A 13,267-nucleotide genomic window follows, 5' to 3' on the forward strand; every position below is an offset into this window, starting at 1 on the left:
TCTTGTGGTCAAAAAAGGGAAAATTTTGTTAAAACTTTGAGGATATATATTGCATGCAGAAAGAAAGAGGCCAATTTTTTAAAAAGCCTTTCAAAGCACTTAAAAAATAGCCATCCTCAACACCCTCTGAGAAAACGGACAGTAATTGCTGTATGGCTTTGACTAACAGCCCCCTCTTTTGTGTGGGCTCCAGTTTAAACCACATGGCTTTAAGGTTGCAAAGTGGGTGTGGCTTATAAATGCCCAAATTACAGCAGCAAGTCTGCATGAATGATTTTTTCCCCTTTGTAATAATAATGTCAGGACTGTTATTACACTTGGCTCCACGGGGGATTGGAAGTGTTTCTCAGAAGGGAAGTGCTTCCAGCTCTAGGGCTCTTTCAAGAGCTCCATTCCCATGTACTTGCTGGAAACTTTCAGGAAACCGCATTCCTTTTCTTGTCCCCATTTAGCAATGTGATCTCTCCCAGCTAGAATGCTTCCCAGACCACCTCATCAGCCAGGCCTGGGAATGGAATGTGGCCGCGAGGGGCTAACGCGTTGGGGTTTAGGTCTAGTTTCCATGTTGTGTTTGTGAGTAAGAGAGGAAAGGAATGATTTTTTTCTCCTGAGAATATTTTGTCAACCCCCAGCATATTTCAAAGCATTCAAGGTCTCTAATGAATCAAAGGATTCAAAGTCTCTAATCTGGGGATGAGGGGGAATGGAACTTGAGATGGCAATGATATCAAGTTCTGTCTCAAAGTGGCTAGAGTTGGCCTGTATTTTAGGTCAAGAGGCATTTGACAAGTGTCAGAAAAATCCATAGGAATCTTACTAGTGATTTTCTGTCACTTCCTTTGGAAATGATCAGACTAGAGGAAATTAACTGTAAGAAGAGCAAGACTGTGTTAAGACTGTTAAAAAGGGTTGGGGGGGAGGGCGTAGGAGGCAAAAAAGAAAAATCAATTGGAATATTATATGATTTTGGACGAATGATTTCTTTATTTTAGAAAATGCAGTAAAGCAAATTGCAACATAAAGCAATAGAATCCAACAAATTGTACCACAAGGATTATTATATACAATCCCAAGACAAAGTCAATGTTGCCATGGAAACACTTGGCCATAATGAAGTTCCTTGCTACATGGAGAACAGCCTCAGTGGGCTGTTCCTTTCATAGCGTGTTGTTTGCATTTAAATGGGTAAGTATATGTGGGGGAGTTTTGACAGAATGGAAGACTAGATTGTGGAAGTGATAATATTCACAGGGGCAGTGATATTTAGTGGTTATATGTGGCACCAGTTTTGTTTTTTCAGGTATGGATTTGATTCAACTACTTAGCATTCTATATAAAACAATTAAAATTAATTTTCTCCCTGACTAAAGTCTGTAAACTGAAATCGTGATAGTTGTCAAAGATTTCTAGGTAGCACCAGAAAATATGGAGGCAGCCCTTTTAGTCCCTAAACTACTTCCTGTGGCAGAAATGTTGACCCTACAGTCCGCTTCTATGGGAAAGAACTGGAGACAGACGTGGAAGTCTGTTTGTAGAATAACAGAGCCCAGGATTTGCTAGAAAAATGATACCAGAGAGGCAATTTCTGTGCTTGTTACCCAAACGGCCTCTTCAATCATAAGCTTTCGCTATGTGCTGCATAGGTTTTATGTACATTTTAAAGTCAATTGTTTAGATTCACATGTGCGTCCCTCTGTGTCTCTGCTCACTGACGCTTCCTGCATTTACGTTTTTCTCTGGCTTCCTCTCCCATCTTCCTAACATATATCCTTAGCAGTTATTTCAGTGAAGGCCTCTGACTGATAAGCTCCTCTTTATCTGAAAAAGCCTTTATTTTGCTCTCACTGTTGAGTAATAGTTTGACTAAGTAGGGAATTCAGGTCAACAGTAATTTCCTCTCCAGGCTTGGAGGGTCTCATTGCATTGTCTCTTTCTTTTGAGGAATCTGCACTGAATCTGTGATGTCTTTTCTCTGTGGTTACTTTAAGATTTCCTTTCTCCCCTTGATGTTTTGAATGTGTCAAAGTACAGACTTATTTTTAACCTTTCTGGTTGGGACTTAGTGAGACTCTTCCTTCTAAGTGTTTACGTTTGATTTGAAAATTTCTCAGGGATTTCTACTTAAAGTATCATCTCACTTCTGTTCTCTTTATTCTCTCCTTCAAGATGCCTCTTAAACATTTTATCAGTTAGAGACATTACATCCAGCTGCATCAGATAGAAAACACAACTTCACAGTGGCTTGAATAGATGAGAGTGATTTTTTTCCTCACATACCTAGCTGCCTGGAGGGAGGCAGGCTCAGGACATTTTAGCTTTCTGCTTCATCGTCCCTTGTACATCTGCCAGGTAACTGCTCCACCTCAGCACTGTCTTTGGTCCACACAGAAAAAACCCTAAGGACACAAGGTAGGATTTTAAACTATACACTCAGGAACGCCACTTGGAAATTTCTGCTTCTATTTCACTGGATAGAATTATGTCACTTGCTGACTTTTTTGCTCTGAGGAGCTGGGAGATAAATATATATTTAGGGGTATTGTCACCCCAAACAAATCAGCAATCTGGGAGGAGAGGCGGCAGAATGGAAGCTGTGCGAGCAGTAAGCAGGGTCTGCCCAGGCATGTGGGGGACTCTGTTCTCCAACTCAGGTCTCAGTGCTGCTTGCATGTTATTGTCTCTCTCTCTCTCTGTGTCTTGAGATTCTGGGTGACTTCCTCAGATACATATTCTAGTTCACTAATTCTTTATTTACCTATGTCTAAGGTGGTATCCCAGCCAATCCTGAATTTTTAATTTTAATAACTATATTTTATTCTAAAAGTTTTATCTTTCTCAAAGATATCTACACTAATTTTAAAGTGTCTTATTATTTATGCTAGGATTCTTTATCTTTTTTTAATTATACTTTAAGTTCTAGGGTACATGTGCACAACGTGCAGGTTTGTCACATATGTATACATGTGCCATGTTGGTGTGCTGCACCCATTAACTCATCATTTACATTAGGTATATCTTCTAATGCTATCCCTCCCCCCTCCCCCCACCCCATGACAGGCCCCAGTGTGTGATGTTCCCCTTCCTGTGTCCAAGTGTTCTCATTTTCCAATTCCCACTGATGAGTGAGAACATGCGGTGTTTGGTTTTCTGTCCTTGCGATAGTTTGCTGAGAATGATGGTTTCTAGCTTCATCCATGTCCCTACAAAGGACATGAACTCATCCTTTTTTATGGCTGCATAGTATTCCATGGTGTATATGTGCCACATTTTCTTAATCCAGTCTATCATTGATGGGCACTTGGGTTGGTTCCAAGTCTTTGCTATTGTGAATAGTGCCACAATAAACATACATGTGCATGTGTCTTTATAGCAGCATGATTTATAATCCTTTGGGTGTATACCCAGTAATGGGATGGCTGGGTCAAATGGTATTTCTAGTGCTGGATCCTTGAGGAATCACCACACTGTCTTCCACAATGGTTGAACTAGTTTACAGTCCCACCAACAGTGTAAAAGTGTTCCTATTTCTCCACATCCTCTCCAGCACCTGTTGTTTTCTGACTTTTTAATGATCACCATTCTAACTGGTATGACATGGTGTCTCATTGTGGCTTTGATTTGCATTTCTCTGATGGCCAGTGATGATGAGCATTTTTTCATGTGTCTGCTGGCTGCACAAATGTCTTGTTTTGAGAAGTGTCTGTTCATATCCTTTGCCCACTTTTTGATGGGGTTGTTTGATTTTTTTCTTGTAAATTTGTTTAAGTTCTTTGTAGATTCTGGATATTAGCCCTTTGTCAGATGGGTAGTTTGCAAAAATTATGGATTAAAGACTTAAATGTTAGACCTAAAACCATAAAAACCCTAGAAGAAAACCTAGGCAATACCACTCAGGACATAGGCATGGGCAAGGACTTCATGTCTAAAACACCAAAAGCAATGGCAACAAAAGCCAAAATTGACAGTTGGAATCTAATTAAACTAAAGAGCTTCTGCACAGCAAAAGAAACTACCATCAGAGTGAACAGGCAACCTACAGAATGGGATTCTTTATCTTTTTAATGTTTAAAAGTACTTATTTTAGGCTGGGCATGGTGGCTCATGCCTGTAATCCCAGCACTTTGGGAGGCTGAGGGGGGTGGATCACGGGGTCAGGAGATCAAGACCATCCTGGCTAACATGGTGAAACCCTGTCTCTACTAAAAATACAAAAAATTAGCCGGGTGTGGTGGCGGGCACCTGTATTCCCAGCTACTCGGGAGGCTGATGCAGGAGAATCACTTGAACCTGGGAGGCGGAGGTTGCAGTGAGCCAAGATCACACCACTGCACTCCAGCTTGGGTGACAGAGCAAGACTCCATCTCAAAAAAAAAAAAGTACTTATTTTATCTTATTTTATAACTTTTTTTTATAACATCCTTGAGCACATTGTTCTATTACTCCTAGGGTTTATTGTGTCTGCTAACTCATGCTTAGTAAATACTTCTTTGTTTTGAAATTTTTGGTTATGAGATTCTCTTGAGAGAGAATCTTCTCCTGCAATCCTGTGTGGTCTCCATTGAAAGAATGTCCCTCAGTGCCGCCTTGTGCTTACTTTTCCAAGTGCCTCTAGGGCTCCTGAACAAAGGATCTGAGACCATGCAAGTCACCATCGTAATGTTTCTATTTCTCAGAAGAGACTTTTGGAACTACCAAAGTCTAGGCATCTGGCCTGGTTTGCAGCCCTTTTTGGTCCCAGCTGCTTTGGGGTTTTGGTTCTCATGTGTCTCTTTGCCCCATGTGGTTCCTGGTTGGGCACACCACGTCAAGGCCTTGGAGGGATGGGCAACACAGCAGAGCTCTCAGCTCTTCATGGCACAACTCCTAGCTTGGTGCAGAAATGGAGGCTGTGAGAGAAAGAAGTGTCAAGGCAATTCTGATCCAATGAGGTATTCTGGGGCCTAAAGTTGAAATGAGGAATGGAAATCTACAAAGCAAAAGGACATTCAAGGTGCCACCTTGCATGGGCCTTAAACCTCAGACTACATGTGCATCTTTAACAGCAGCCTGAGCTAGCCATGGGGGCTGTCACTCCGGGCGTAGAAGTAGGAAATAATGTTGGGAAAGTAGAAAATGATCCAAAGTTTCATTTCTTTAACTGCCTGTGGCCATCCCACAATGTGGATGTATTCACATGGTCATCCTCTTACTGGGGCAATTTTCTTCTGACTGCCCACCAGGTGCAAGGTACTGTGCCATACTGTGGTCAAGGTGAGTGAGGCGGGGCTCCTGCTCTCAAGTGTGGAGGCAAAGCTACAAACACTTCAGTCTAATGTAATAAAATCCATAGTGAGAGGACTAGAGGGCACGGAGGAGGGGGCTCAGCTTTGTAAGTAAGGACTTCTTGAGGACGTGGCACTTGGGCTAGGTTTTAAGAGACAAGCAGGATTCTGACAGGTGAATGAACAGGTCATGGAGCCCTTAGCTCACCCTGATCTCAGCTGGGATGTCCCCACCTTGGGGAGGCCTTCCCCGACAAGCTCGTTTAAAGGAGCTCTCCCATCATTCTCTTTAATCCACTTTGTCATACTTCTATCTGACATTCCTTGTTTGTCTACTTCTGTCTTCCCCCTAAGATGGCAAGGCCCATGAGAGCAGAAACTTTTTTTTTTGTCCTAGTCATAGTAGCACACCCAGAACAGAGAAAAATATTTAGCACATCAGAATGTAGCTCTGTTGTGTGAGTGGAATGGCACACCTGGATTCCCAAGGCAGGAGGACAGAGGACACTCCCTCTCTGGACTCTGGCTCTATGGGTGACCAGGCACACAGGAGCTGTACCGCGGCCACCTGTGCAGCCACAGGCCCCGGGCACACCATGTGCCATCCATGTACCCTGTCCTCTGGCCCTTCACTGGTGGCTATGCCAGCCAAGACTCTTTTTATTTTCTTTTTTGTAGAAGGGAGCGAAATCATCTTTTTCTCTTAAACATTATACATAATATCTACAGAATTTACTTATATTTGCCATGAATTACTTAAAAGGCGAAGCAGTTTGTGTCACTCAGTCTGGTTTGCTTCATGAGAAAAATCTTTATGTTAATCAGATCACGTCCTTTTGCTTTGTGTTATTGTGCAGATGAGGAACCCATCTTAAAGTTTAAAAATTATAAAAGAAAGAAAAGAGAAAAATCATTTCAAATCCAAAACAACAGCCTATACCTTCAGCTTCTTCTTCTGGTTGGTGTGAGTTCATCAGATAACTCTAAGGATTAATGTGGTGCTAGCATCATAATGTCTTTGAAAATCAATGTGCGCTGAACACTTTTAAGGCTTCCTTACCCCAATAGGAGCAACTAACTGGGTGCAGGGTCAGCAGATTTAGTCCAAGGTCCACACAGACATTTCCACACATGCTTTCACTGAAGAGGCCACAGAGTTCTTGCCCACATAAAGTATGTGCATTCACTAATAAATGCAAACACTAATTAGCCAGGTGCAGTGGAGTATGCGCCTGTAATCCCAGTTACAGGAGGCCAAGGCAGGAGGATCACTTGAGCCCAGAAGTTGGAGGCTACAGTGAGTTGTGATCATGCCACTGCACTCCAGCGACAGAGCAGAGGCCCTGTCTTTAAATAATAATAATAATAATAATAAATACAAGCACATAGCCTTTACTTTCTTATTAAGAAAGCAGGGATATAGCCTTACTCTTTTGTTCTCTGTGTGTATTCTTCTAGAACTGCTAAATTTGTAGAGAGGAAAGTGGTTCCCTCTTACACCACCCCCCCGGACTTCTTCCCAGTACAGTGAGAGGCGCAGCTGTAGCACCCCATCTAGCCAGTCGCAGGCCAGGCTGTGCTTTGGGCAGTGTTCACAGCCAGCAGGCCCACGGAGGGGGCAGCACCTGAAGAACGCCTTTCAAAGAAAGACATTTCCGCTGTCTTCAGAAGGGAGCGTCCTTTTGTTCTCTTTCCAGAGGGTCACATGGTCAGGCAGCCTCCTCCAGAGCAGGAGAAATTCCTCAGGAGTTCCCTGGAATTGTGCTTCTGTTCTATATCAGGCCACAAGTGGCTGGCCGCACTGTTTACAAGATACCCTGTGGCTTCCAAGAGTGACCTGGTTTCAGAGAGCTGGTCCCAGGTGGAACATGAAAGCTGTCCAGGCTCCCAAGACAGCAAAAGGCATTTGTCTGAGAGGCAGGCTGCTTGATGGAGAGAGTGCAAACGCCTGTGAGAGGGGCAGGCCTAATGCAGTGCTCTGGTTCATTAAGGAATGTATTAATTTGTGCTGGCAAATCAGTGCCATTAATTTCTCTGCCTGATCAAAACCCTTCCAGATCATTTGGTAGGTAAAGAGCCTGAGATCCCAGGAAGGAGAAAAGCAACACTACAAATGTCCTCTGCTTCTAGGGAACAATAAATATCAACACATTTCTGTTTTCTTTCCTATCTTTTCTTTTCTTTTTCTGAGATCATCCATGGGAAAACACATTTTAAGCCATTTTGGCAAGACAGCAGTTGGAGATTTTCAAGTTGTTGTTTGGGGAAAAAAGACACCAGTTGAGCAGGATTTAAAAGTTCTGTTAATGGAGGAGAGCAGAAGTTGTTTTTCTTAATTAAAAAGTATGAAGACAGATTGGATAGCAATTTTCCCTCTTCATCTCCTCCCCACCCATTGAACAACCCAATTAATTTTTCAAAACAAATTTTATAAATACATGTAAAAAAGCTTTACTGTATAAACTGCTTAAAAATGTGCCTTTCCACCTGTCCTGGTGGTAGACGTCTCAGAACTGTCTTTGTATTTGTTTATAAATAATAGGACAATGTGAGCTGTGTAATCTGCTTGGAGATTAAAATAATTTACCCTCTCCAACTCCATGGGCCCTGTGAAAGATGTACAAACTAAACTCCATGGGAGAACAACACTGCAATATAAATGCAAGGAATGGAACGTGAGAGAGATAGAGATGAAAGGAAAACGAAACAGGAAATCCTAGTGGCGAAGCTCCATTCTCAAGTCCCATTAAAGGAAGAGGTCAGAGTTAAAGAGAGTGCTGAGCCCACTCATTCGCATATTTATTTTGGCCAGACGTCTGCCTTCTAACCTAGAAAACTGCAGTTTTGGAGCTGGAGGCTCCCACGTCGGATGGGGACCAACTTGTAACATGCAAGTCCTGTGAAAACTTGTTAGTAGCTCATGAAACAGCTTCTTCCACATTAAATATTTTCACTTCATGGTTTTTGAAAATGAAGGATGTTTTAATAGAATTCTAGGCCTGAGATAGAACTTATAGTTGCTCAATCAAGAAGAAAGGGCTGGCTGTGAGTACACCATCTCCTCTGTGGCACTTTTAAAAATATTGCTTCTTTCTCCCAAAGGGAGATTGATGCATAACTCCCAGGACTTAGCTTAGCTGTCTTGGTTTACTGGGATTTTAAAGTATGCAGAAGTACCATTTTGAACCAGAAGAATAAAAACCAGTATTGTGCTTTGGAAAAGGTTTTATGTGCTGCTCAGCCTGTCTCAACTGCTATCTCAAGTTTCCTTCCTGAAATGCAGGGGAGCAAGCATTCGTTTTTTTGTTTTGTTTTGTTTTTTTTTTTTTTTGAGACGAGTCTCGCTCTGTCCTCCAGGCTGGAGAGCAAGAGCGATCTCGGCTCACTGCAACCTCCGCCTCCTGGGTTCAAGCGATTCTCCTGCCTCAGCCTCCTGAGTAGCTGGGATTACAGGCGCCCGGCCACTACACCCGGCTAATTTTTGTATTTTTAGTAGAGAGGGGGTTTCACTGTGTTAGTCAGGCTGGTATCGAACTCCTGCCAAGCATTCTCATGATCGGTGTGGTGGTGAGTTAGAAAGACTAAAGCACTTTAGCTGAAGTCACTTCGTGTTTTTGCAAGCTGAGGGAAAGCCATGATTCAACCAGCTTTGACTTGTTCCTCACACAGATGATAAGCATTCAACAAGGTTTGTCTACAAATGTAATTCTTTAGCATTTTTCTCTTAGTTTTTGATGTCTGTGTTTTTGTTGCCGCACAATATAAAGATCAGCGGACAAAGTTTGTTTTCAAAAAGTATTGGTGACAAGAAGCCTGATTTTGACTGCATGATGCTCTCTGTACCTAATCCTCTTAAATGAAACAGCTTTCTCTGCATTTCATGATACAGGACAGTGACTCGCTTTGTGCCCTAGGTGAGCTCAGGCTGCCACCAAAGAATGCATGACGTCTCATATGAAGCTTGCATGAGCACACAGATGTTTTCACACCCCAGATGGTAGCCGGTGTTTCAGGAAGCTGTCCTTTTGACACCGCATCACCAGGAAAACCCTAGGAGGTTAACGATATCATAGAGGCAACTTTGGGAGTAGCTCTGCAATTTCAAGGGCACCAGGCCATTGTACCAATGCTCAGGTGTGGGGACCGGGCTTCAGGGCAGCTCTGTTGATAGTGTACTTGGCTGTCCTGCGTACGTCATTTTGCCTGCTTTAGAGTTGATCTTCTCACCTATAAAACAAGGAGCTTGGGCTAGAAAATCACAGGGCATGATGCCAAAGTCCCTCCCGTCTCAAAGAAGTCATTACTACAATGGGGCGGGCCAGGCAGGTGAGGCTTTGAGGAAAAGCTCAGGTCCCAGCAAGGGCAGGAGTCTCAGTAGGAACCCCGGCCGCCTTGTCTTGCAGGGTCTGCTGGGAGGTGGGCAAAACGGCTGGCCACAGGGGGGCGAGCCTGGGAAGCCTGGGATCACCTGAGATGCTGTAGAATCGGATCTAATGGGGGAGGGGCTGACAGGAAGCAGGATGGCAGTTTAGAAAGAGCTTGGGCTGTGGAGTGTGGTACGGGAAAACCCCAACTTTAAATCCGATTTCTGTCACAGTGAATCAATCTCCCAGTGATTGTGTTTAGAAATGAGGATAACAATGTCCATCCAGCAAGATTGCTCTGCAAATGGAGTTGGATATGGGAAAGCTCTTAGTGTATAACAAGTGTTTGGCAGATGTTTGTCCCTCCCAGGGCTTGGGGATTTGGTCTGTGGCATGCACATAGTGAGGCTCTTAGGGCTTCAGGGACTGCCGTCCAGTGAGCTGGACTAGCATGGTCCCTGGTGACCCTTCCTTCCAGTTTGGACTTCCTGGTTGGGTCCCATAAGGGCACCGTGCATTCCTGAGACACACCTGGAAGCTTTGCTGGAGAGAGTGTATGTTTGTTTGGTTTGCTTTCAATGGCAACATCACTGAACTTAGAGGCAATGGGGCAGCTAACGTCAATGGTGCAGCTCTGACCTTCCTTGGAAAGCTAAGGGCAGACCAAGGGTGAAGGGAGAGGGTGAGGCAGGCACAGTGTGTTTCTGTGTTCCTTCAGCTTTCCTTTTTGATGCTTAGAAATGTCAAGAGAAGGCTTCTCCTTTAATCTCATATCTCCTTTAAGTCTCATAATCTTGAGACTTAAATGTCAGGGGCAGACTTTGGTTCTCTTACCTTGTGTTGGATAACATCTCTGGTGCAGACACACCCTGGAAGCATGCCTCCCTTTTAAATGTGGCACATGCAGTTTGCTTCAAGATGGTCTGAGTAATGTCCTTTACAATTTATAGAGAGGTCGTAGATGCCATCACACCGCATAAAGATTGCATCTCAGCTGCAGGGAGGGTTCACAGTGACCAGGGTTTGCCCTGGTGCAGCCTCCTTCCTCAGGTTGTTGGCCCATTCCCAGGGCGTCATCACACTGGCATGAAAATCTCCCATCCACAAGAAGAGCAGAGGCTGGCTGCCCCCCATCCCATTCCACCTTGGATGGAAAGACTGACACCTGTATTTAATTTTGCAGCCCTAGCATTCAGCACAGGGCCTGGTACACAGTTGATGTTTACAAAACATTAGCAGAACCAAAGGCTGGAGCGTGCCCCACGGAGCTGCAAGACTCCACCTCAGCACTGTGCCCCTTCCACATTATTCAGGTCTCAGCCCAAAGGGCACACACCCCACCTCTGCCATGTCGAGGACTCCATCATAATTTCCTATTGATGTCCTTCTCAGGACGCATCCTACCCTCATATGATCTGCTCATGAAAGAGTTCACTTGTCTACTATCTCCCCCTTCCCACTAGAATGCAAGTTGTGGCCTGTAGTGTAAGAGACATTTTCCATCTTGTTAGTTGCTTTTCCCCAGTGCTTAGAACAGTACCTCATCCAAAGTATGCACTCAATGACTATTTCCCCAGTGCTTAGAACAGTACCTCATCCAAAGTATGCACTCAATGACTATTTCCTGAATTTGTTGGGTGGTTTATGATGATCATTGAATAAATAAGTATAACATACAGCAATATGCTCATTTTCTAGGAGTCAGAAATTTGGCAACTTGAACTTTCTGGAAAAGTCTTCAAAGTTGGAAGTCTCAAGAAGAAAACTCCTACACACAAAAGAAGTCTTAAGCCAGGTTACCTTGTTTTCAAGCCCACACTGCGTTAGAAGGAGTGAACATGAATAGTGTTGAGGGTAGATCCAGATGCAACAGCTTTCTGACAGAGTGCGGTTCAGAAAACTCAGAAGTAGCTAGGGTTCTGTGAACATGGACGCCAGGCTGGAGCTCCTGCTGCAATGGGGGCCCCCAGAATTGGTTGGGAACCCTGCCATGCTGAAGGAGGGGCCACAGGTAGCTCGTCTGTGCATATGGGTAAGGCCTGCAGAAGTACACACTGTTTCTGGACAGGTGCAGGCACTTAGAAGGGCAAGCTTCATTCATCCGGTGCTCATTTAGCTGTTTCTTCATTGTTCGGTGGGTGTTTATTTTGTCAGGAAAAGTAAAAAAATGATGTTGCTTCCAAAGTCCCACATGAATCTATTTTTCTTTTTATGTTGCAGTTTTTGCAATACACATACTTTGAAGAAATTGCTGGAGATAGATCCTTTAGATGACTTCTTGTCTAAAGACAATGACATTAGAAACACAGCTGTCTTACCAAAAAAGACCTACACACTCCCGTCCTGTAAACAAGGCTCTGTGTGCCTGGCACAGGCATGGCTGCTCTTATTTTTAACTGCTTTTGTGTGAGAATACAAAGAGAAATATTACGTAAAGAGCAGGATGTTTTGGACATCCACTGCTACTGCATTACCTAATCCCATGACTGCAGATTTCAAGAGATTCATCTGCAGGTGTTGAGAGCCTCAGAAATGTGTACCACAGGCATTGGTATATAAGAGCAAAGTTGAAAACTCCACAAGTGATATTGGAGATGTCAGAGGTAATTGTGTGTCTTCTTGGACTGGAATGATGACACCAACTCAATACAGAAGATTCCATTTATGGAAATTGGGTTCTAATTGTGTCACCTGGGGGAGTTAGCTCACTTTTTTGAGGGGGTTGGTTTCCACGTCTGTGAATTGGGAAAAGCGATGCGCCCTGTGACTCACGTATTACAGTCACATGAGATGTCAGGTAGAAGGACTGTGGAACTCTGGGTGCCGCCCATATGAGGTTATTCATATTTGGAGCTTTGAACTTTTTCTCAGAGCATGCTCTTCCCTCTGACTCAGTGGTCACAACAACCAATGAGGTGCCCATGTTTCACCAATGAGGACTCACTTCCAAGGTCAACTTAGTGGGAAGCTGAATGTGGAACTGCCCTCTCTCAGCTCCTGTTTGAATCCTTCTTCTGTTACTCAAAACAACAGGGGCTATAGGTTAAGATTAAAGTGCAGCTCCATAACTGTTCCTTCGAAGACTAGAAGCAGCCAAGGTGGCTCATTGTCTTAATGACTACTCCAGAGGACAATGTGAGCATCGCTCATTTACTCCAGCCAGGAGGCACAGTGAAGAGGGGAGCATCATGGTGGAGAAACAGGCAGCCTGTGCTGAAACCTTAGCTTCCTCCGTCTGTGTGACCCCGGGCAGTTATATAACCAGTCTGTGACTCAGTTTCCTCATTTGTACTCATAGGGCTCTAGGGAGATTTAAGTTAGATGACATATGCAAGCCACCCAGACCATGCTTGGCACATAGCAAATAAAACACTGCTAATTGTTCTGTTAGTATTAAAGCTCAGCTTACGGGTTAGGAAACTGAGGCTCAGGAAGTAAAATGACTTGCTCAAGATTCAGTCTAATGCAGCTAGTCTACAGGTTTCTCTCTTAAACACGATACTGGTTTAAACCTCACAACCAACGCTGTAACGCAGGAGGAAACCTCAGAAAGCCTGCTGTTCTCTGCTGAGGACAGAGTTTTGTCCTCTTTTGAGGTAGGACTACCCCTTTAGGCTTCTCCAAGATGAAGGCCAGTGAAAT

The 13,267-nt window shown here is 43.9% G+C and overlaps 3 annotated features.

Moving 5' to 3' along the window:
* Positions 6,354–6,967: an enhancer, noted in NCBI's record as "OCT4-NANOG-H3K27ac-H3K4me1 hESC enhancer chr8:49454562-49455175 (GRCh37/hg19 assembly coordinates)". NCBI's record gives its function as "activates a minimal SCP1, AML or CMV promoter by ChIP-STARR-seq in primed H9 embryonic stem cells {active_cell/tissue: H9 hESC(primed)}" and the evidence as "EXISTENCE:reporter gene assay evidence [ECO:0000049][PMID:30033119]".
* Positions 6,968–7,580: an enhancer, noted in NCBI's record as "OCT4-NANOG-H3K27ac-H3K4me1 hESC enhancer chr8:49455176-49455788 (GRCh37/hg19 assembly coordinates)". NCBI's record gives its function as "activates a minimal SCP1, AML or CMV promoter by ChIP-STARR-seq in primed H9 embryonic stem cells {active_cell/tissue: H9 hESC(primed)}" and the evidence as "EXISTENCE:reporter gene assay evidence [ECO:0000049][PMID:30033119]".
* Positions 9,509–10,074: an enhancer, noted in NCBI's record as "H3K27ac-H3K4me1 hESC enhancer chr8:49457717-49458282 (GRCh37/hg19 assembly coordinates)". NCBI's record gives its function as "activates a minimal SCP1, AML or CMV promoter by ChIP-STARR-seq in primed H9 embryonic stem cells {active_cell/tissue: H9 hESC(primed)}" and the evidence as "EXISTENCE:reporter gene assay evidence [ECO:0000049][PMID:30033119]".

The sequence above is a fragment of the Homo sapiens genome, chromosome 8 (genome assembly GCF_000001405.40).
Source record: "Homo sapiens chromosome 8, GRCh38.p14 Primary Assembly".
NCBI lineage: Eukaryota > Metazoa > Chordata > Mammalia > Primates > Hominidae > Homo > Homo sapiens.